The 24,448-nt window shown below is 43.3% G+C and overlaps 1 protein-coding gene across 14 annotated transcripts in view, besides 2 other annotated features; it reads left to right on the top strand.

The window, feature by feature from the left end:
- Positions 1–24,448, top strand: part of PALM2AKAP2 (PALM2 and AKAP2 fusion) — a 531,726-nt gene that overhangs the window by 149,933 nt on the left and 357,345 nt on the right. The gene's annotated exons all lie outside the window — the stretch shown is intronic.
- Positions 8,786–8,955: an enhancer, noted in NCBI's record as "experimental_104519 CRE fragment used in MPRA reporter constructs". NCBI's record gives its function as "activates a minimal promoter by MPRAs in K562 erythroleukemia cells, with activity observed for both the introgressed and non-introgressed 9:112561870 variant alleles {active_cell/tissue: K562}" and the evidence as "EXISTENCE:reporter gene assay evidence [ECO:0000049][PMID:34662402]".
- Positions 23,190–23,484: an enhancer, noted in NCBI's record as "tiled region #11524; HepG2 Activating DNase matched - State 13:Ctcf". NCBI's record gives its function as "activates a minimal TATA promoter and a strong SV40 promoter by Sharpr-MPRA in HepG2 cells {active_cell/tissue: HepG2}" and the evidence as "EXISTENCE:reporter gene assay evidence [ECO:0000049][PMID:27701403]".

The raw sequence follows: 24,448 nt of genomic DNA on the forward strand, positions 1-24,448 counted from the left end.
TGGTGTGACTTGACATACATCTTGGGCTGATATCACGTGCTGTTTCTACTGGGGTGGGAAGTGCTTTGAAAATGTCCTTGCTCCAGTGGAACTGTGAGACATATCTAAAAAGCTTAAGGCTAATATGAGTGATGCTAAAAGGAAGTCCTGCTTATCCAGGTAAGCAAAAGCATACTCTAGGATAGCAGTGCTCCTGTAACCTGCATGGCCTATTTTTCTTTTCCAGGTGGTATGCAGGCAGTCTTGTTCATGAACATTGATGTCTGAGCATGTGTGTTCAAAATTCAGTGTTGTTAATCAAATAAAACTCACCACAAAACCCGAAGGATATTTAACAATAGATGAGATAGGTTTGGCGGAGATGGGTCAGAAGACAGAGGAGGTCCTGGAGGCAGCAGTAGAATGTACTTTCCAATCTTACTGGTGACTAGAGATAAGACACTAGTAGCCTGTTTACTCCCCATCCTTATTTACACTGGAGTGAGAATGATATATGTCAGATCAGTATTGGATGCGATGAGGGAGAATGAAGAGAAAATATTGACTCTGAAAAATACAGACAAGAGGAGGCAAAGTTGAAAGTAATGTAAACTGCTTAATCACCTGCCTTTCTCTCTTTCCACCGTCATCTCTTTCTACTTGACATGTTCCTGCTTTTGCCTCTGGATGGTTCTATCTCTCATCCCCTCTCAGCCTGGGTCCACAGAGAAAAGCAGGAAGCAGCCTGGCATGGCAGTGGAGGGAGCCTTTTCCAGCCTTCCTCCAGCAGAAGTGCGCCCTCTCCCCTATAGGGAGATAGGGCACCCCAGGCTTCAGAAAGCAAGGGAAAGATGGTACTTCATCATGTAGCTTTTCTTAAGGGGTTGGAGGGAAGGGCTCCCAGTTCCGGAGAGGGTCCATGTGCCAGCCACCCTGCTGAATGCCTTATGTTAGGGGGGTGAGATCTCAGATGTGCACAGGTACCAGGTTGACTTGGCTGAGCTTTTGGGACTGTGGTAGCCAAGAGAGGGCAGACTCCTGAGGGGACAGAGAGTGCTCAACTCCAACTGATGGGCACTGTGTGGGAATTTGAGCCCAGGGTCTCCTGCTTTTCCAAGAGAACCTGGAAATCCAATTTTGAAGGAAGTCTGTTGATGTTTAAATGCTCACAACAGTTTAAATACTGTATGGGCCAAACCAAACATAACACAGATTTTAACACAGTGTAGGCTGGATTTGTTCCCTGTCTCAATGACCCTCCCCCTCTACCCCCAGCCTGGGCCACCAGTTTTCCACGTCTGCATGTCACAACCTATTTTATTTAATTACAAAACCAATAGTATGTGGGAATGGGGGCTGGGGGGTTGGTACAGTATAAAGCTATGTGAGTTGTAGATACACTTATGTATGTTGGGCACCTTGGTGGGATCCATACCCTATAAGAAAACCATAGTCTTGGGTCAGAGTCAGGGCTGCTACTTAAATCAGTTCCTTATCCAGCATGCTGGATGAACTCATCAGTTCTCTGTAAGAAGTAAAAACTACAAGCACTCTTTAAAAAAAATGAAAATGAATGAAGAGAAAAATAGACTTATTAAATTCTTTAATTTGGAAGACTGGGTCTCGCTATGTTGCTCAGGTTGGTCCTGAACTCTTGGGCTCAAGCGATCCTTCCACCTCAGCTTCCTAAGTAGCTGGGATTATAGGCATGTGCCATTGCTCCCAGCACTAAAATTGACTTTCTTGATGTACAGCTCTCTCAATTTGAACACATGCGTAGATTTGTGCAATCACTGGTATACTCAGGCAACAGAACAGTTCCATCACCCCCAAAAGTCTCCCAGGAAGGCTGATTTTAAAACTCTAACTGGAATCTAAGTCATTCTGCTTGGGGCTACCTTATACCCTGACTTTGAAGACCCTAAAAATCAGTTGAGGGTGGGAGGGTTGACCAGAACATGAAACTTGGGTTCCCAGCCATTGGTGGGGAACTGTTTCATAATGAGCACCCTACCATACCTATATAACAAGTTTTTGCTTCTTCCTAATACATACCTTCTGCTCCAGCCTGGGTCGTCTTTTCACTATCCCCTACTAGGGTTGTTCCATTTAGCAACTAAATGTATAGGATGCCCAGTGATTCCATGGGGACATATTTATATTAAAATATTATTTGTTGTTGATCTGAAATTCACATTTAACAGGACATTCCATATTTTATCTGGCAAGCCCATCCTCTTCACATTCATGCCACATTCTCATGTAAGTTCAAAACCTACTTTCTCTGTGTTTCACCAAAGGGTGAAAATACTCTTTGAAAATACTCTTTGATTTTATTACACTTAATCTTAGCCAAAGGCCAAGAAGCGATTGTATGCTTTGATTTTAAATAGTAGCATGTTTATAGGGAGATAGGGCAAGTGTTGGAAGGATAAGAGTGCTTTCTATACACATAAATGGATTTTCAAGAAATGTTTTGTGACCAACTGGTTTTATCCTTTCCAGAGAACAAGAAATGATCTAATATGTGCTCAAGGAAGGAGGACAACTGGATTTCAGAAATTGGTTCATGTTACAGCCCCTCCTCTACCCTTTTTCTCTGGCCTGACCTTTGAATAATATAAGTCTGAAAAGACTAAACAAAGAGATTGCTCAAACTGGATGAGTTTAAAAATAACATTGGAATGCTAGCCTTCAGCAAGCCATATATCTTATACTGCACTGAGCAGGACAGTGCCCTGTGGTGGGTAGAAGATGAGTCACACAGTGATCACAACCAGATCCTTCCCAGCCTGGATACTTTGGTGGAGAGTGGTGTGATGGCTGATTTATTTGTCTTGTTTGTTTGTTGTTTCATTTTTCCATTTTACTAGTGTGATTTCAGAATCACAAGGAGGCAAGGAGGAAAATTGATTTTAGATAGCAGCTTCAGAATGAAAAATGAGTGGAAATTCCACTTTTCGGTCTAGACCAGGGACCAGCAAACAATAGCCCGTGGGCCAAATTCAGCCTGCAGCCTCTTTTCATAAGGCCTATGAGCAGTGCCTGGTTTTTATATTTTTACAAATTTGAAAAAATTCAAAAAAGGATCTTTTATGACTCATGAGATTTGTATGAAATTCAAATGTCAGCATCCATAAATAAACTTTTACCAGAGCATAACCATGCCCATTCATGTATGTGTTGTCTATGGCTAAGTTTGTGCTATAATGGCAGAGGTGAATAATTAAAACAGAGACTCTATGGCCTGTAAAGCCAAAAATATTTACTATCTGACCATTTGGAGAAAAACTTTGCCAACCCCTGCTTTCTACATGGCGTATTTCAATGGCTGTATTTGCGATGAAGGCTCCAGGAGCCTTTTATCTAAAGAAATCACTATTGCCTCATTGCTTACAGTCCAGAACAATAAAGCATCTCAGACATCCTTTTCACTGTTTTCTGGGCTTACCATGATGAGAGGTTTTGTTTACCGAAGCTGGCATGTGAGTTTTGCCGCTGTGGAATTTTCTCATTATATCCTTTGCTATCTAAGCCAACTGCATGTTGTTGTTGTTGTTGTTGTTGTTTTTTGAAAACCAGAAAATCTGATCTCTTAGGGTTAACAGTTTGGCCCATCTGAAATAAGTCCATACAATTAAAAACATTTCTTTCTATTGACAGGGACTGAGGGTTGAGGGAAAGCACTGCAGATTTTCCAGGTGTATTTTTTTTTTTTTTTGCTCCCTGGATTTTGCCTGAACCCTCACTTTTCTCTTTCAGGGAACTTTAAGCACACTTAGTGAAAGACTAAAGGTCAGAGAGCACACCAGCCACATTCCCTGAGTCCAAGCAGGGAGCCAGAGAGGAGTGGTTTCTGGCCAGCCTTCCCTGTTCAGTTACCTCATGGAACCCTTGGGACCAGGGCCTTGATTTACAAATAGAGTGGCCACTAGGTAAAAGTTGCCCATGGCCAGTGGTAGCAGGATCGACCCTAGTGTCTCTGAATCATTAAGTACTTCCTTTCTGCCCTCTTCCATTTCTTACTCAAAAACACCAGCTACAATTTTGAGTCTGGTCTGCCTGGAAATTTCCAAAGGGACTTTGGTGCCTTAATAAATATTTTCAAATTGCTCAAGGTTTTGGAAGATAGCAGAGCCATAATTGTGAAATCGGGTTAAAGAATGATTGCTGCAGTACTTGCGTCGGCCCTGTGGCCATGCTGAAGTGGACAGGGTTGTGGACACTCACAATTGCTCACTGCAGATGGACAGCCTTTGCTTTTCTGGTCATACATATGCTTGATCCTGAAATTCTCTAGATGGGCTACTTCTGAGCAGCTGCTTGGAGAATGGGAAGCCAACCCTATAGTGTAAGGTTTCTTAACTGAAGTACCATTAACACTTTGGGATAGATAATTTTCTGCTGTCTGTGGGGCCGATCTTTTGCATTATAGGATGTTAGTGGCATCCTTGGTCTCTATCCATTAAATGCTAGTAGCACACCCCACTCTTCATTGTGACAATCAAGAAGGTCTCCAGACATTGCCAAATATCCTTTGGGGAAAAAAATAACCCCTTTGAAAATCACTGATGTAGTATAACATAAAGGTTACCTGACCAAATGTACTTCCCATTCTTTTACCATTAGGGATTTATCCCTTTAAGTCTTCACTCTCATCATTAGGGATTAATTTCTTTAAATGTCAAAGTCTTTTTTATTTTCTAGAATCCCTCACGACAATATTGATTTAACTAACCTGCACGTTGTGCACGTGTACCCTAAAACTTAAAGTATAATAAAAAATAAAATTAAAAAAATGGTAAATCCTTAAGCTTGGGATGGCAGATGGTTTTCAGCTCCTATGTGAACTCTAACTGATAGAAAGTGTCCATCTATAGTGCCGCCGTGGGAAGATCTTTGAAGCTGCATTTTAGGTGTTGGAGAAAGGACATTAAGACAGATTAGAGCTGTCTTCCATGGGCAAGAGATGAGGGAGTTGGCATACACGTGTAAGGAACCTTCTTACCTAACATTTCTGCGGAGATTCACTATAGTCAGGCCTTAGGCTGGTGCTGTAGTTCAGCCTTACTGCTGAGCCCTGTGCCAGGGCACTGTTCACACAAGGTCCCTGTAGCCTTGTGTATTTGTTAGGGCAATTTTCCAGCAGGTTTTGAGGAAAGGGCACCTTTTCTAGATCACAGAGTGCCATATGGGCGAGCAGAGGTGCTGTACTCTGTTGATGGGAATAGAAGTCAGGGAACAAAAAGAGAGGGGCAAAGAATATAACTTCCTGTCTGTCTCTCCTGCCTGACTGTAAACTTCTTGAGGCCAATGACTATGTCATATTCACCATTATCTACTCTCCGCCTGTCACAACACATTTTGCATAGTGTCAAAGCAAGTTTAGTGACTTTTAGCAGAGTTCTTGTTCTGTATCTTGGACTCCTTAGCAGTCTTGTGGAACCTATGGGTCGCTTTTCAGAATAGTGCTTAAATGCACAAAATAAAATATTTAGGATTAAAAATATAACCAATGAAATTTATATATAGTCAGCAAAATATTAGAAAACTGTGATAGATAATGTGCTTTGATTGATTGATGTACAGTCAGCAAAATATTAGAAAACTGTGATAGATAACATGGGATTTGATTGATGTACAGTCAGCAAAATATTAGAAAAGTTAAAGATAACATGCTTTTTTATTAAGTAAAATCTAGTGGCAGTTCTAATACTTACTCTAATTGCAAATTATTGGTGAATGTAAGTGATATTTTGAGCTGTCTCCAACAACTGTAATGTTATATAAAAAGTCTGTGATTCCTACTCCTAATAAAGTCATGGTATATTAGTCCAATCTCACACTGCTATAAATAACTTCCCCTGAGACTGGGTAATTTGTAAAGGGAAGAGGTTTAATTGATTCACAGTTCTGCATGTCTGGGGAGGCCTCAGGAAACTTACAATCATGGTGGAAGGGGAAGCAGGCACATCTTACGTGGCAACAGGTGAGAGAGATCATGTGTGTAGGAGTAACTGTCAAACACTTATAAAACCATCAGATTTCATGGGAACACACTCACTATCATGAGAACAGCATGGGAGAAACTGCCCCCATGATCCAATCACCTCCCACCAGGTTCTGCCCCTGACACATGGGGATTATGAGGATTACAATTCAAGATGAGATGTGGGTGGGGACACAGAGCCAAACCATATCATATAGGTACTAATGATCTACCTGGGGCTTGTGCTTACATTCATAACTGAAGGCGGTGCTAAATGTTAGCTAGGGGGTGGTAAAAATAACCTTTAGCTGGGTACCCTAAATTCTGTCTTATCCCCAAACGCCCTGAATTCTCACTTCTTTCTTTTGTAACTGGGCCCCTGCTCTGATGGTTTCCTCCTTTCCTTTGCCTGATGCTACCTCTTTTACCTTCTTGGGGTTCTTCCCCAGCAAATTTTTCTAGGTTCTTTCTTCTGCATTCACTTTCCATCTCTCTCAGCTGGGTTGTGTCCTTTGGCCGCTATCTAAGTTCTCACTCCGCTTAGCATGGGAAGGGAAGCTTCTAGGCCCAGCTTGGGGTTACCCTGAGCTTCAGAGGAGAGAGGGAGGTTGGCACATCACAGATACTCACTGAATGCTTTTTGAATGGAAACAGTTGCTTTGCCAACTTCACCTTTTTTATCAGGGGCTCTTCTTGGATTCTTGGACTGTGTTTGAGATCAGTTCACTCTTGATATCTCCCCTCCGCATGGAAAGCATCCACAAATTTCCAGCTAGAGCATGAACTTGCAATTTGGTTTGCCTAGATCCTGGAAGTCTACAGAGTTAGAATCTTTCCTGGTTCTGAACTCAGAAGCAGCAGTGAGCAGTGGGACTGCTGGGACCTTTACCAGCAATCACCCACCACATGCACCAGCTTCAAGCAGCTCTGCAGAAGCCGTCCGTCACCCTCCCCGTTGCACACCTTGGCTGTGAACCGCCAGGGCAGGGGCATGTGTGGGAAGCAGGCGGCCTGCAGATTCATTATTGCTACAAGTGAATTTCATAATAAACAAACAAAAATGAGCCATCTCTAGTTTAGTTCCCTTTGAGCATATAGGCCATCAGGTCCCAAAATGTTCAGAGTTGGGTTAGTATCTGTGGCTTTCACCAGGTAAACACATCAGTGTTCTTCCTAATTTGGACTGTTGTGGCTTCCCTAGTTCTTTTTTCCCCTAGATTGTTATAAAGGTTCTGTATTAGTTTTCCAGGGCTGTTATAATAAAGTGCCACAAATTGGGTGGCTTAAACAACAACAATTTTATCATCTCATAGTTCTGGAGGCTAGAAGTCTGAAATCAAGATGTCCAGCTAGATTGGTTTCTTCTGAGGGTTGTGAGGAAGGATCTGTTCCAGGCCTCTCTCCTGGACTTGGGGATGGCCAGCTTCTCCCTATGTCTCTTCACATCATCTTCTTTCTACATATGTCTGCCGGTGTGTCCAAATTTCCCCTTTTCATAAGGACACCAATCATGTTGGAATAGGGCCTACCCTAATGACATAAGTTGATGACTTCTGAAAGGACCCTGACTCAGAAATATCCTGAGGTACTGGGGGTTAGGACTTCAATATATCTTTCTGGGGACAGGGTCCTTGCATGCTGTCAGATGATACCTGCATCTCGCAGTGATGGTCAAGCGTACCCTACTCTGCTTCTGGCTATGGCAGTAGAAATTGTGTCCCAGGGGAATGGCTAAGGGGCCTGTAAACAATGGGTGCCATATGCCATTAATGGCTCAAACCTCTGCCTTGTCTACACACTCATGTATCCCATAACCCTCTGTCTCCTGTCAAAGCCTTTTATCAGGAAAGGCATAGAACCACATTTCACGCTAAGGCATGAGTGTTAAACATACCCTCACCTAGCCAGTTAAAAACATTGGGCAAAGCTGTAAACTACATCACAGGAGTTCAAAATGTCAACAGAGCTGCCCCCAGTCCTGTCTGTGTTTTTGCTTAGGACCCAGTGTTGTGTCACTACTCCCCATTGATAATAAACAAAACATGCCTCATATGTTCACAGTTATTTAGAGTTTACAGAATTCTCTCCTTCTATCAATTTGTTTGTGCCTGAAGGAGCAGGAAAGGTATTATTTTCTGCATTTTATTTCAGAGAAAACAGAAGCTCAGCTGAGTAATTTGTTCAAGATCATCCAGGCTGTGGCCGGAGCCCACATCATCCATGTCTCTATGTCAGCTGTCTTTCCACTGCTCCAAGCCACCTGCCCTGCTGCCCTCCGTTTCCCCTCCAGGTCACTGTTGTGCGGACCATGCAACCCGAGTCTCAAAGACTCACGGATCCCCTTGCTGTGCTCTAGGACCCAGTCCTAGCACCTCCTAACCTCCCCAAGAGGGCAAAAAGCAGCCTAGGTCTGGTGAGGGTGGCCAAGGCCAGAGGATTCTGTTAGTATGCAGATCAAAGGAGGAGCATGGGCAAAGTGACAAGGTTTGTGATGGAGCAGAACAGTGTCAGGAAGTGATGTGAAGCTCAGCGTGGCTCGTGGATGTTGAGAAGTGAGGTTGATGGGCAGGGGGTGCTGGACCACAGAAGACCAGGTGTTCCAAGTGGGGCAAAGATGTGGTCTGTGAGAGGCTGAGAGCCACTGAAGACCTGTGGTTTATCAGAGACTGCTGTGGTGGCAGAGTGGAGGCAGGATGAGGCAGGGAGCTGCTCCAGGTTCCTGACTGCCGGTCCCTGCCAGTGCTGGTACATTCCTCAAGGCTTCTCAGTGGCTTTCCATTATTTCCATAGAGGGGTCACCTTTAGTTTTGGGGAGTTTATTTTTGAGATGGGGTCTCACTCTGTTGCCCAGGCTGGAGTGCAGTGGCACGACCATTACTCACTGCAGTCTTGACCACCTGCGCTCAAGTGATCCTCTCACTTCATCCTCTCATGTAGCTGAGACTGTAGGCATGCAACACGATGCCTGGTTAATTTTTTTGTATTTTTTGTAGAGATGGGGTTTCACCATGTTCCCAGGCTTGTCTCGAACTCCTGGGCTCAAACAGTCCACCTGCCTCAGATTCCCAAAGTGTTGGGATTACAGGCATGAACCACCGCGTCGGCCACCATTAGGTTTTTAACTGTTTAAGGCATTCTTTTTATACTGAAACCCAGAAGAAGCATCCTCCCCAGCTTCAGTGGAAAGCCTTAGAGCTGATGGAAAACCAGTTTCGAGTTGGAATGTGGAGGCTATTTCTGGCCTTTGTGACATCCTGTTCAACTTTCAGAGGAGCCTGGGAAGAAAGGGGTGACTCAGACTATAAGCTTATTTTTAGGGAAAGCTAAGAATTCAGTCAGAGCCACTCGGATTCCCTATTGCCTGCCATACAGAATGTGCTGTTGGTGGAGAGATTGATGGGCAGAAATCCTATGTTTATCACCTGATTGTTACCCAGCACCTCCCATGTGCCAGTATAAGGTTTACTGATTTGAAAAGAGGATGGAGATCAACACAAACACACTTTTAAATCAGAGGAGCATATTTCAAGGCATTTATATTTAAGAACTAATTTTAGGGCCAAAGAACTAATATTGTAAGAGCTTCTGTGATTAGGTACTTAATATATACTACTGTTATGGTAAGTGTTTAGCAAATACTACCGCATTTAATGGAAACAATAATACTCTGTTAGAGGAATTCTTATCACTGTTTTAACAGAAGAGGAACTGTTAACTTGAGGAGGTTTAACGTTAGCCCAAGACCGGGTAGCTGAGTCCAGATTCAAACTCAGATCTGTCTGGCTCCAAACCCATGCAAATGACCCCTCCGGGTTTGGCAATTAAACGACTCACATGTTGCCACCCTTTGTTCCTATGTATCACTAATTGATCATGGAATTATTTCTTGCTCAGCTCAGATTTGACCTCAGGATCCTTTCAACACAATGCTACAGGTAGCCACTGCTCCCAACTGAGCAATGGTAGTACTTGAAGTAGCGTCTACCTGTCATCTTAGCTTTATCTTTCTCTGTATTTACTCAAAATAGAATCTTTAAATCTACAGGGGTTTGTTGTTGTTTATTTCTACAGATGTATTTGTAACCTTTTATTGATTAAACAATTGTAAGAAATGGAGTATTCAATACAATTTCCTTTTATAGTCACTGGAAACTCTGCGTGCTTTAATAGAGGATCCTAACTGCCTTGGAGGGAAGAATGACGTCTTAGGACTCAAAGCCTTGATACAGGCAACTGGCTTATGTGTCAGTGTGGTAGTGATGAGTGGGAGATGGGGAATCAGCCTGAAGAACTCAAGCTGTATAGCAGTAAAACTTTCAATTAGCCCAGTCTGGTTAATTACAACTGGATGGTGAGTTGGGGTTGGGGGATGTGGTGGGAAGGCTAAAGAAGCAAGATAACAGGGTAGATTTGGGGGTTGCATACATACACACCTTCAGTTGCCGTGAAACATTTCAGCTCAGCAGACAGACCTGTTGTCCTAAAAGTATAGCACCATGTGGGGCTGTGGGTCCCTCCAGGGAGAAAGGAGTTCCTTAAAAGCAAACTCAGACAAGAGAATGGGGAAGATACCCCCAGGGATAGTGGTGAAGGGAGAACCTAGAACCCAGCCTTGCAGGAGGATGAGGTAGAAATTGGTCCAGGAGGAAGTCTATGGACAATATCTAAAACTGGAGCATCAAGAAATAGTAATAGAAATATGTTGCTTAGAAAGGTGGATTCCAGATGATTGAGCTGAAATGGAGTTGGACAGTCACAATGTATGGAAGGTAGTGCAGGTGCATCACCAACACAGATTCATTCGATAAAATTAAAATGTTTTTGTTTTACTTTCAAAAAAATAAATAGCAAAAAAGCAAGCTCAGGCCAGTGGTGGCTGGTGGCCTGTCAGCATGGAGCATGGACCTTAGCCACAGGCCAGGGCTTTAAAGCCAGGACTCCAGGACCTGGGATGGGTCATTCTGAAAGCTGATTATCAGAATGCTCAGGCCAGAGCTGGGCCAGCTGCCCAGGTGTTGATATGTGTGTGTGTGTGTGTGTGTTTGTGTGTGTGTGTGAAGGGCTGAGAACTGCATCTACTAACATACTCCTTGTGTGATGTTAGGGTTAGTGAATTGACCTACAGTGGTACTTGGCCTGCAGGAAGGGGATAAAAATGGGCATCATGGTAAGAAGTTGGGCCAGCAAGCAGCTCTAGTCTCACAAAGCCTTTTCCTGGACTAATGAGAGGGACCATGGGGAGGGGTGATCCCCCCAAAATCAACCAGATCAAGTTCCTGATGAATGGGCAATTTATGACTGACCAGCTGGACACAAAATGCCATTGAACAACCCAAATGAACAACACTTCTCAGTCAAAATGCTGCTTTGGAGAGTCTGTGTATGCAAATATACCTCATATATTCTTCTCACTGTGGGATGGAGCAAGAAGGCCCTGAGCGTGTTTCTCTAAAAATGCATAGCAATAATCCTAGTCTTAATTTTAGCCTCTTCTGGGCATCTGAAATGGGGTTGCTACAGTTAAAATAATGCTGTATAACTAACATGATATTGGGTATTGAGGTCAGAGCAGGGCTGGCTTCATCAGCACGTGATTTCTGTAGTCACATAGGTTCCCCACTTTGTTAAATGCTCCATAGCCATATTGAAATTCTTAATAACTTTTGGACCAGGAGCCCTGCATTTTCATTTTGCCCTGGGCCCTACAAATTATGTAGCCAGCAGTGGGTTGTCATACCCCAGAGTCCCAGACACCAGCCAGACATTTGCTGTGTTGAAATTATATAGGGGAAAAATATAATTTAGAGCATAAATAAACCCCCATACTTTCAGCAATTTAACAGTCTAATGCAGGTATTCCTTGCCAGTGGACAGCTTTCCTCCATGTGGTTTCTACTATTTCTGACTCTGCTATCTCCCAGGGCCTCAGAATCCTTTGCCTCCAGCCTGTCAAATGAGAGAGGATGAAGAGGCACACTCACTTCTTAACTGCCTTTGTCTGGAAGTGACCCACATCATTCTTCTCATAGTCTGGAGAACTAGTCATATGACCACACCTAGGTGCAAAGAAAGCTAGAAAACATGGTACCTGGCTGGGTGGTTACTTTCCAGGGCTGCCTCCATCCTATGGGAGGAAGAGCGTAAATTTAGATGGATCATTAGCCTTCTCTGCCACATAGATTGTTCATGAAGGAATGCTGATGCAAAAGCAGGTATCTCAGTGCAGACTACTGTGATGGATCAGGAAAGGTAGGAATCCGGGTCTTTTTAACACAGATGCCAGTCTCTTAGCCTCATCAGTTCATTATTATTAAGATGCTTGCTAGTTCCAGAATAGGAAGAAACTAGAATCAGAATAGTCTGTGTTTGTTTGCTTGCTTGCTTATTTATTTATTTCCAAGAACAGGTTTTTGGGGAAAAAAAAAGAAACACTAACACATTAAAATGTACACATTAACTGTAAGATGCATTGCTATTTCAGTAACATTATAATGCGAGAGGAAACACAATAGCATATCTTAGAATTGACGAAATCTAGTAATTGTCACTGTGAATTATTGGTTTAGTAATTTTTCACAAATCCTTTTGCTAGCTTCATAAAGTCCTTTAATAGTGCTCATAGGGGATAGCCATGTGTTGGCACTTGGATCTGGTAGGTTCTGCCTGACCATTTTAATCAAAATGCTGTTAACCAGGGTAGGCACCGCCTGTTGAATAGCACACCTTCTTGGTGAATTTGTCTCATGGAGCCTCATTTCTGGATGTGTCTTAGGCAAACTAGGAGCCCTCAAGATCATCTAGACCCACGCTGGAAAGAGGTCTACCTTGGAGATGCATTTATATTCCCCCCTGAGATGCTGGTGATTTTGCAAGTAGTAATAATCAGAGACCTGGAAAACTTCAAGAGTTCTGTAGGAAATATGTCCTGGTCAGTTCTCATCAGCTCAACAAACTGATGTGGCTCTTGAGGGAACCAGCTGCAGGAGGCAGGAAAGCAAGTTAGCATCAACACAAGTGGGCCAGCACCATAGTCCCAATTCTCCTCTTTCATCTGCTTCTCCTCCACCCTAGTAGACACCTTGGGAAGACAAGGTAGAGACAGTGGCTTGAAATTCCTAGTGTCTTCCTTTGATGGGTATGTGCTCCTGCAGAGTTAAGGGAGTAGATGAGGTTAACTGTCATCTAAACAAAGGCAGTGGCTGTAAATATATTCCTTGGAGCTTGGGAGCCCCATGGCTATGTTCCAGGCCAGAGAGTCCAAAGAAAATCAAAGACTGCCACCTAACAGCTTTTTTGGCCATCCTGAAAGTCCCCACCTTCTCCCAGGTAGCTCCAGAGAAAGACAACTCCCAGCCAGGCTCTGACAGCTGAATCGAATGGCCCAGTGGTGGCACATTCCCCAGAGGGCTTCAGGTTCAGGATGCAGCCAAGTTTCCTGCTTTATCCTGAGTTAAGCAGAGATCATCACCTGCCTGGATGTTGTTTTGTCTGTGTCACCTCATCACTGGAGAAAACAGATTACCATCTCCTGCAGTTTTTTTCACAAAACAGAGCATGGCATGGAGGAAATAAGATAGTCAGCATGGCATCTTGGTGGGTCAAAAATAATATCATCTGTATACTTTGATTACATTTTAAATTCAGTTTGCACACAATTGGGGTTCATTTAATTAACTCTAAGCTGTAATCTCAGTCTGGGTTTGAATGGATCTGAATTTTAATAGCTTTTTCCTCCAAAATATTATTTCTATGGCAAATAAGCAGCCCTTCCTTATAATGCTGAAATCATAGAAGTTAGTTGTTTTCCCCTCATTTTTTGACAATCATTCTTTTTGCGGTAGTAACGAAATCAAGCAGTTTTCATTTGGCTTTTTGGTAGTTGAAGTTAATTTGTCAATTTCCTGCTAGTCTTCTATTACGTACACATTTTTCTGGTTAGCTGACAAATCAGAATGCTAATGATGGTGGGGAAAAGAAGACTGGCAAATTTTACTTCTGTGGGTTTTACCAAAATCATAATTGGTTGATTTTTCCTTTAGACCTTCCAGGATAAAGGATTTTTTATTTTTAATAATATTTTCTTCATTCTAAATAAGAAAGTGAAATGTACAAAACAGTGGAAAGAATAAAATAACTTAAATGTGCCTGTCATGGGGCCTTACACTCAATCAGTATGTTAACATTTTTAAAGAAAAATAAATGCCCATAATCTCATCACCAAACACATGTAGGGAATTTTTTTGGCAAAGATTTTATATATTTGTAGTTATGCTCTCTATAAATTTTGCATCAAGCTTTTTTCATTTCACATTTTCATAAATAATTTCTCATGCCGTTATAAACTCTTCATAAACATAATTTTAATTGGCTACGTAATTGTTTTTTAGGAGTACATTTGGCTGCAAGTGCCTGAAAACCTGGGAAGAAACAGCTTAAGGGTTTTTGTTTGTTTTTTTCATGGAAGAAGACATTGAGACAAGGGGATAAGGGGTCATTGAGACCATCAGAGAACCTCCTCCTGCAGCTCTGTTTTTCTTAGTGATGGTGGCTGCAAGCCAAGCACAGGGCTCTCCCAGAGAAAACAGGGAATCACTCCCATCTGCAGACTAAGCCATGTGATCACCCTAGCTCAAAAATATCTGGGAAGGTGGGCTGATAACTTTCCAGCCTTTGTAGTGGAGGAATATGGGTTTCTTAAAATAAAATGACCTGAATTAGAATTACTGTGTCAAAGAGCAGTTGATTTTTTTCCCCGAAATTCCAGTCTGATTGCTTATTTGGTGAAAAGCAGGATTTAAAAACCTGTGCTCCATTTACTACCATCTCATTTGGCACTGGAAACACAAATGTACAACTAGTTATAAAAGTAGGATCAAGTCCAAAACCTGTGGCTATCAGTTTCGGGGAGGCAGCTGTCAATGCAAGATAAGGAAAAAATTCCTCAATATTTAGAGCTGCCCCAGTTTGGAATTAACTACTTCATGGGATGGTGAGCAACCTTTCCCAAGATGCAGCGACTGAATAGATACTTGGTATATAGGCAGAAGAGGTAATTTACGCATTTGGTAAAGTAGACCGGGTGACCTGTACCACCTAGGCATCTCCATGATTTTAAAATTAGGATACATTTGCTAAAATATTTCCCCAAGCACCCAGGATATCCTTTGCATGGTGGAACCTTGTTCTGATGTTGCTTCAGATCAAACATAGTAGCCTGAAATGTGGCTGTAGTAGAGTAGTTGCCTGAGATGGGAAGAATTCACCTCCCAGGCTCCTGACTCCAGGGCCATGGAAAAGCTCTATCTTGGGTTTGAGACCAGCCATTACCTGGGTCAGGCCCACATACCAGCCCCATCCAAGGTTACATATCTGATTTCCTCACTGCCTGTTAACATGACTTTATTATTTTTCCTGATGCCATGGATTTCTTCTTTTGTATCAACAAAATGTGCATGTTCCTTATGTAAAAGGTGGTATAAGTTCTATCTTTGACATTACCCAATTATAAAATGCAGTAAACATAAAAACAATTTTCTTTTTGATTTATTTACAAAAGTGGTCTTTCCAAAACAGTTTTACTAGTTTAACTCATTTTATCTGAACTCCAGCTTAAAGCTATGAAGTCATGTGTGATAAATAAACATGCATCTGAGTTTATGTAATTCAGCCAAGAAATATTTTTTGAACATTTTCTATGTTATAGATATATTTGTGGATGCTGAGAATGTTCATGGTAAATACAAGACAGTCTCTGCCCTCACGGAGCTTGCATTCTGGTGGGAGACTAGGGAAGAATAATTTATGAATAAACTATTGAATATATACTATGTTTGTATAGTTTGTAGTACAGAGACTTGGTTGTGCTGGGGAGGGGGATACCTTCATAGAATGTTCAAGAAAAACCTTACTAATAAGCTAGTGTTGGAGCTGTGATAAAAAACAAAGAGTGAGCCATGTGGATATCTGGGGGAAACACACTTCTGGTGGAAGGAACAGCAAGTGCTGGCCTGAGCTGAGATCATACTTAGTGTGTTCAAAAAGCAAAAGGAAAGCCTAGTGTGGCAGGTGGGGAGTGGGTGAAGGAGAGTGGTAGGTGATGTGACCAAAGAGGTGGTGGCTGGGGCTGGATTATGAAGGCATCTATATACCGTGGTAAGGATGTTGGCCTTTACTTGACATGAGATCAGAATCCAGTGGAAGATTTGGAGCACAAGAATTGCACAATCTGACCTATTTTTTAAAAAGATTACTCTGGCTGATGTGGTGAGCTGAGTTAGTAAGGAAGTGGGCAAGCGTGGAAGCAGGGAGACTAGTTGGGAGGATATTGTGGTAATTCAGAGGGAAAAGAGATACATGTGGGCCAAGCTAGCAGCAGAGGAGATGGGGAATCCTGGATTGATGTTGATAGTATAGTTCAGGGGATTTTTCTCATCCAGTAGATCTAAGTGGAATGTGAGAGAGAGAAAAAAAAGTCCAGAATGTGCCAAAGGTTTTGAGGTAAGCAACTAGAAGGATGGAGTTTCACTGGAATGAAATGGGGATCACCATGGGAAGGCCTGCTGTGAAGGGAAAATAGGAATTCAATTCTGGACATGTTAAGTTCAATTTTTGGAGATGTTGGTCTGATACCTAGGTGGAAGTGTTGAGTGGTCAGTGTCTTAGCCTGTTAGTGCTGCTGTAACAAAATGCCATAGACTGGGTGGCTTATATACAACAGAAACTTATTTCTCATAGTTTTGGAGGCTTGGAAGTCCAAGACCAAGGCATTAGTAGGTTTGGTGTCTGGCAAGGGCCTGTTTCCTGGTTCATAGATGGAACCTTCTATATATATATGTTCACATGGTGGAAGGGGCAAGGCAGCTCTCTGGGACCTTTTTTTTTTTTTTGTCTGAAAGAATTCCAATATTATGAGCATGTAATATAAACAAAGGTAGTGCTTTAATCTATTGGGAAAAGGATGAATTATTTAATCACTAGCAATGACATGGAGGGAGAAAATCAATATGAACCAATGGAGCCTCTTTTATAAAGGCACTAATTCACCCCCTGATATGGTTTAGCTATGTCCCGACCCAAATCTCATCTTGAATTGTAGTTCCCATAATCCCCACATATTGTGGGAAGGACTATGTGGGAGATGACTGAATCATGGGGGTGGTTACCCCTGTGCTGCTGTTCTCATTATAGTGAGTGAGTTCTCACAAGATCTGATGATTTTATAAGGGGCTTTTTCCTGTTTTGCTGGGCACTCCTCCTTCCTGCCACCATATGAAGAAGGACATGTTTGCTTGCCCTTCTGCCATGATTGTGAGGCCTCCGCAGCCATATGGAACTGTGATTCAATTAAATGTCTTTCCTTTATAAATTACCCAGTCTCAGGTACGTCTTTATTAGCAGTGTGTGAACAAACTAATACAGTAAATTGGTACTGGTAGAGTGAGGTGCTACTGTAAAGATACCTGAAAATGTGGAAGCAACTTTGGAACTGGTGAACAGGGAGAGGCTGGAACAGTTTGGAGTGCTCAGAAGAAGTCAGGAAGATGTGGGAAAGTTTGGAACTTCCTAGAGACTTGTTGAATGGCTTTGACCAAAATGCTGATAGTGATATGGACAATAAAGTCCAGGCTGACGTGGTCTCAGAGGGAGATGAGGAGCAAAGGAGACTCTTGTTATGTTTTAGCAAAGAGACTGGTGGCATTTTGCTCCTGCCCTAGAGATTTGTGGAACTTTGAACTTGAGAGAGACGATTTTGGGGCATCTGGCAGAAGAACTTTCTAAGCAGCAAAGTGTTAAAGAGGTGACTTGGGTGCTGTTAAATGCATTCAGTTTTATATATTCACAAATATATGGTTTGGAATTATAACTTATCTTTAAAAGGGAAGCAGAGCATAAAAGTTCAAAAAATTTAAAGCCTGATGTTGCGATAGAAAAGAAAATCTCATTTTCTGAAGAGAAATTCAAGCCAGCTGCAGAAATTTGCATAAGTAACAAGAAAGCCAAATGTTAATCACCAAAACAATGGGGAAAATATCTCCACGGCATGTCAGAGGTCTTCATGGCAGCCCCTCCAATCACAGGCCCAGAGGGCCTATGAGGAAAAGGTGTTTTTTTGGGCTGGGCCCAGGGCCTTGCTGCTTTGTGCAGTCTTGAGACTTGGTGCCCTGTGTCCCAGCCATGGCTAAAAGAGGCCAATGTAGAGTTCAGGCCATTGCTTCAGAGGGTGCAAGCCCCAAGCCTTGGAGGCTTCCACATGGTGTTGAGCCTGCAGGTGCACAGAAGTCAAGAATTGAGGTTTGGGAACCTCCCCCTGGATTTCAGAGTATGTATGGAAATGCCTGGATGTGCAGGTAGAGGTGTGCTGCAGGGGTGGGGCCCTCATGGAGAACCTCTGCTAGGGCAGTGTGGAAAGGAAATGTGGGATTGTAGCCTCCACACAGTGTCCCCACTAGGGCACTGCCTAGTGGAGCTGTGAGAAGAAGGCCATTGCTCTCCAGACTCCAGAATGGTAGATCTACTGACAGCTTTCATCGTGCAACTAGAAATGCCACAGACTTTCAATGCTAGTCCATGAAAGCAACTGGGAGGGGAGCTTTACCCTGCAAAGCCAAAGGAGCAGAGCTGCCCAAGGCCATGGGAACCCACCTCTTGCATCAGCGTGACCTGGATGTGAGACATGGAGATCAAGGAGATAATTTTGGAACTTTAAGGTTTAATGACTGTCCACTAGATTTTGGACTTGCATGGAGCCTGTAGCCCCTTGGTTTTGGCCAATTTCTCCCATTTGGAATGGGTATATTTACCTAATGCCTGTACCCCCATTGTATCTAGGAAATAACTAACTTGCTTTTGATTTTACAGGTTCATAGGTGGAAGGGACTTGCCTTGTCTCAGATGAGACTTTGGACTGTGGACTTTTGAGTTAATGCTGAAATGAGTTAAGACTTTGGGGGACTATTGGGAAGGCATGTTTGTGCTTTGACATGTGAGGACCTGAGATTTGGGAGAGGCCAGGAGTGGACTGATATGGTTTGGCTGTGTCCCCACCTAAATCTCATCTTGAATTGTAGTTCCCATAATCCCTGTGTGGGATCATGTGGGAGATGACTGAATCACAGGGGTGGTTACCCCATGTTGCTGTTCTCATTATAGTGAGTGAGTTGGTTTTATAAGGGGCTTGTCCTCTTTTTGCTGGGCACTTCTTCCTGCCGCCATATGAAGAAGGACATGTTTGCTTCCCCTTCTGCCAGGATTGTGAGGCCTCCCCAGCCATGTGGAACTGTGAGTCAATTAAACCTCTTTCCTTTTTAAATTACCCAGTCAGCTATGTCTTTATCAGCAGTGGGAGAATGAACTAATACACCCCCGAAGGCCCTACCTAATATAATCACATTGATAATTAGGTTTTCAACATATAAATTTGGCTGGTGGTGGTGGGGAGGTCATAAACATTCAGTCCATAGCATGCAGATAAATTTAGGAGTCTAGAATTCAAAAGAGACGTCTGGGCTGGCTGTATAAAGATGGGAATCATCAATGTTTAGATGGTACTTCAAGCTAGGAGGTTGGATGAAATCACCATGGGAGTTAAGGTAGGTAGAGAAGAGGTCTGAGAATAGAGCTCTGGACTGTTACAGGAGATGGTGAGGCACTAGGAAATGAAAATAAGAAGGGCTGGCCAGTGAATTAGGAGAGGACTAAGAGAACTAGGGACCTAGAATTTAAGAAAGTATTTCTAGAAAGGGGCAGTGACCATCCTTATGAAAAGCTGCTGATATGCCACGAAATCTGAGGCCAGAGGATTGTCCACTGGATTTAGTAGCAAGGAGGTTACTGGTGCCCTGAACTGGAGCTGTTTAGATGGAGAGGTGGAGGTGAACACTGGGAGGTCTGGATTTAAGTGAGAATGAGATGAGGCAGCAGGAGTGTTGACTCCTTCAAGGAGTTTTGCTGTAAAGAGGAATAGAAAATGGAGTAGTAGATGAGGGAGATTGTGGGCTTGGAAGGGGATACTTTTAGAGATATGACAGTATGTTTGAGGGCTGCAGAGAATGATCTAGAGCCTGAGAAACATTGATGAGGGAGGAGAGAGATGAGACAACTGCTAGAAGGAAGCACTTGAGTTGGGAAATGAGGAAGGCATCGAGTGCACAAATAGAGAGGCTGTTCTTGTGCAGGAGTGATAGCAGAGCCCACAGAATGAGTGCAGGTGTGCGGGAGCCTGTGGTGGCTTGGTCTGTGGATGAACCTTCTGACTGCTTCCGTTTTCTCAGTGAAATGGGAAGCAAGGTCATCAGCTGGCAGGGAGGAAGGGGGAAGAGGTGTTGGAAATTTGAGGAGAGAAGAGAAGGTGTGAAATAATCCTCTCAGACAGTTCAGGAGTAATTGATCTAAGGCAATGCAGTCAGATTTCTGGATACCTCCAACGGCTCCCCTGTGATTAGGGATCTTGAATTTAAATAAGAGCAGACAGTAGAAATCAGGTCTTGGGTGTGTCTCCAGTGTTTTCAACTCAATAGGTGCAAGTACAGGTAGGCAAAGTATTGGATTTAATCTGAGTTGGGCTTTTGCCAGCTGAGTATGACAGAGAGAGAGGGGTGCAAGGGAATTGAGGGTGTGGACTGTGGGTATGATGATGGTTATTGATCATAGAATCTGAAAGCTGGTCAGAGAGGGACATGAGGTGGGTGCGGGGCAGTGAAGGGGTGGTAGAAAGAGTGCTATGCTTTATTTGACTTAACAAACTGGACTCCTTATTATAAATTCAATCACATTTCTAATGCATGGTGGAAAGTTAGTATGTTAAAAAAAATAGTACATTTTTATATGTTAAATATCCTATATAATAGTAATAATTATCTGCTGTGTTGCTGTTTTTATTATATTCTTTTTCTTTATGTTTTTAGAGATGGAGTCTTGCTCTGTTGTCCAGGCTGGAATGCAGTACCATGATCATAGCTCACTGCAGCCTTGAAGTCCTGGGCTCAAGCAATCCTCCTGCCTCAGCCAACTAAGTAGCTGTGACTACAGGTGTGTGCCACCATGCCTGGCTAATTAAAAAAAATTATTTTAGAGACGGTGGCTTGCTATGTTGCTGAAGCTGGTCTCAAACTCCTGGCCTCAAGCCATCCTCCTACCTCAGCCTCCCAAATAGCTGAGATTATAGGCATGAGCCACTGTACCCAGGTATATTGTATTTTCTTAAAGCAAGTCATGGTATACCTGAAAGAAACCAAATATAAGGCACTGTAGATGAATCCCAGTGCTGTTGGCAGAAGGGACAGGGAGGCCACATGTGAACCAGGGGTCACTGGCCCTGCCCCAAAGGCTGGACTTGAATATGCAGCTGGTGCCACTGGCTAACAGAGCCACAGTCTCGGTCACAATAATAGAACTGTTGACCCATGAGGTTTCTGGTCATAGGGGCAGAAACTGCCAACAGGGAGAGGGCAGCTGGCCATCTGAAGCCAGGATCTGTCCCATCCAGGAAAGGAGAATTGGCAGGAGTTGGGGACATCTTGCCATGGGTGAATACTCCTCTGAGAAGGGAGAAGGGAGGAGGCAGCTTACAGACAGAACCATGAGGGAGGGACAACATGGAGCCCAAAGCCCTGCTCCTGAGTTGCTGGGTCTGGATCTCGGGGTCAGGGTTGTTTGTGAGATTGGAGAGGCAGCAGAAGTAGCCCAGATGAAAGGGAAGAACCTGGGTTGGTCTCTTTGCTGGGCAAACTCTTTGCACCACAGTCTGGGCTGGCTCAGGCATTGGATAGGAGTGAGCCTGAGGGTGGGGGTACTGACCCATCCAGCGGCACAATTTGGGAAAGGAAGGGGCAGAAGAAGCAAGGCGCGGCTGATGAGGAACATCTGCTCTCTTCCCACAGTGCAGATGGAAGGCCTAAATGCCAGCACACCGTTTATTTCACTTTGGCAAAATCCATGTTTATTTCATCCCTCACCTCATTGTCTAGACTTAACATAAATCAGGACAGTGCAAATGGAAACCACAGGTCCTTCTCTTGGCCTTGCCAGCTTTATTCTTCCCTAGGGCAGGTGCGCATGTTGCATTAGTGTCATAAGGTGGCATGAGACTGTACCAGGCCATTAGTCCTGATTCTGATCCAGCAGCATCACTGCCTTGCTCCGTGATCTTCCCATGTTTGAGTCACCTCATCCTTGATATGGAAGGGGCAGTACCTGTTCTCTCAGTAGCATAAGATAAGAGGTAGGGAAGTGCTTGGGAAAATGCAATAAAAGACACTGCTGGAAGCCTTCAGCAGTAGGTTGGGTTACAGAGGTCTTGGCCTTGCAAAATGAAGTGAGGTCAGCACAGATTAAGCAGACCAAATCAAATCTTTGATGGTTGAGTGATTTTTAAAAATGATTGCAGGTCTGCACAATTTAACAAGACTGCCCATAGCAGCTGAAAACATTTCCAGAGCAGATCAGATAAAGCCAAGTTAGAAATTGGTCATTGCTGTAAATCAAGTGGCAGACTATCAATGACCTAGATTACCCCAGTTTTCCCACAGGAAGTGAAAGGAAAACCACTGTGTGGCTGCTGAGGCTTGATTTGTCAAGAGCTGAGAGAGCTACACAACATTAAAAGATTGCCCATTTCTCAGCTTGCCCTAATGAATTGGGACTCATTTAATTCAGAAGCTGATGAGATGTCTAAATCACATCTATAGAATAAGTGGTCAGATTTAAACTCCAGTTGCCAACAATCTGTAACGGCCTCTGGTTGCGTTGTTCATCTCTTAGTTAATAAATGCTTGGCTTTTTGCTGAAGCTGCCGCTTTTTAATGTCTAACACCATGACGTCAGCATTTTTCCCATTTTCTGCCCTCCCTTTAAGGAGGTAGGGATGAGAAATGGTAAGAAGATAGGGCTTGTTATGGGTCTTGACTTGGAAGACCCAGAGCATGGGTCTTGAAGTAGAACCTTGATGGCTCTTTTCTGTCTGTGCTGCAGGTTTAGGGGCCTGCATTTAGACTGGCCCATAACTATGGGAGCTGCTCCCAGCCATCCTAGACTTCTCAAGAAGCCCATAACTCTTAGGAAGAACTAAGAGCCTAACTCGTGTTGTCCTGGACTTTTCAAGAAGCCGATAACTCCTAGGTAGAACCAGGAACCCAACTCTACTCGTCTGTCCTACGTAGGGTCTACAAGGCAGTGTAACACACCACGCCCTGCACCCTAACTGATCATAGTCAGCCGTGGTGACCACAGGATGGTTCATCCTTCTTGCTGGTTCCCAGCATCCTTCTTGCTGGTTCGCATGTGCTCTTTTGGCACTTATCACTCCCACATTCTGGACTCCTGGCCCTGCAGTTGACTTTGACCCTACCTTTGGCCCTTTGAATTTGTGCAAATACCACTGCTGAGCTGACTTGACTCATTCTCCAGCTCCCACTACCGTTTGCAGTGAAGGTTTGTAATGCCCTTGATGAGAATGAAGCTCCCAGTTTCACATTGGGACACAGTGGGTAAGCAAATGCCACACAAAAGAAGGCACATAGTGCACACTTGTACCATCATCTAACGTCTGCATGGTTCTATTGCAGGGCTATACTTTCTTATCGGTAGATACATGGAAATGGAAATGCACCTGCTTTTAAATATATACTTAATGCACAAGTGTCAATGATATAGTTTTCACCTGAAGAAAATCTAGAGCCATCAAAGTACAGGGCGAGACATACTATATGAGCCTGAACGATTGTGGCAGGATTCTAAGAATCTGGATGATGAATCTGAAGAACTCTGTAACAAACAGATGCAAAGATGCCATATTTAGACCTCAGAGGAAGTGAGCCTCCTGTCACTGGGAGAATCCATTCATTCTCCTGATTCACTCATATGCAGAATAAGTGTTGATGGCCTTCTGTGTGCTAGGGATTCAAGGACAGTGCAGTGGAAAAGATGGGCTAGTACGGAGGATTTAGAAGGTGGTGTGGGACAATAAGTACTCTGATAGAGAAGCATGTGGTGCTCTCAGAAGTAACTTGTCCATGATCACAAACCAGTAAGTGGCAATTTAATTTTGAACACATGTATATCTGACACCAAGACTCATCTATCAACCATTAAGCTATATCATTGCATAAGCAGTTCCCTGTAACTGGATTGGAAGGTTTGAGATAATGGTGAGAATGGTGAGAAAGAATGATGGAGAGATGGACTGTCTTGTATGCCATTTTAGGTAGAGTTTGGATTTTATCCTGTGGGTCATGGGAATCTCTCAGGAAGTGATCTAGTTGGATATGCATTTTTGAGAGAGTACTCCACTGTAGTATATGAAGTAATTTGAATTGGGAGGGATGGGGAGTGGGCAGTAAGACCACTCAGAGGTGGCTATCTTGATACTGATCCAAGAATGAAATAGGGATAGACTGACATGAGAGAGTGGCTGTGGAGATGGTGAAGAAGGCATGGATTTGATAGTTATGTGGTTGAATTGCTGGAACTTGGTACTGATTGAGT

Source organism: Homo sapiens, chromosome 9, assembly GCF_000001405.40.
Source record: "Homo sapiens chromosome 9, GRCh38.p14 Primary Assembly".
Classification (NCBI taxonomy): Eukaryota; Metazoa; Chordata; class Mammalia; order Primates; family Hominidae; genus Homo; species Homo sapiens.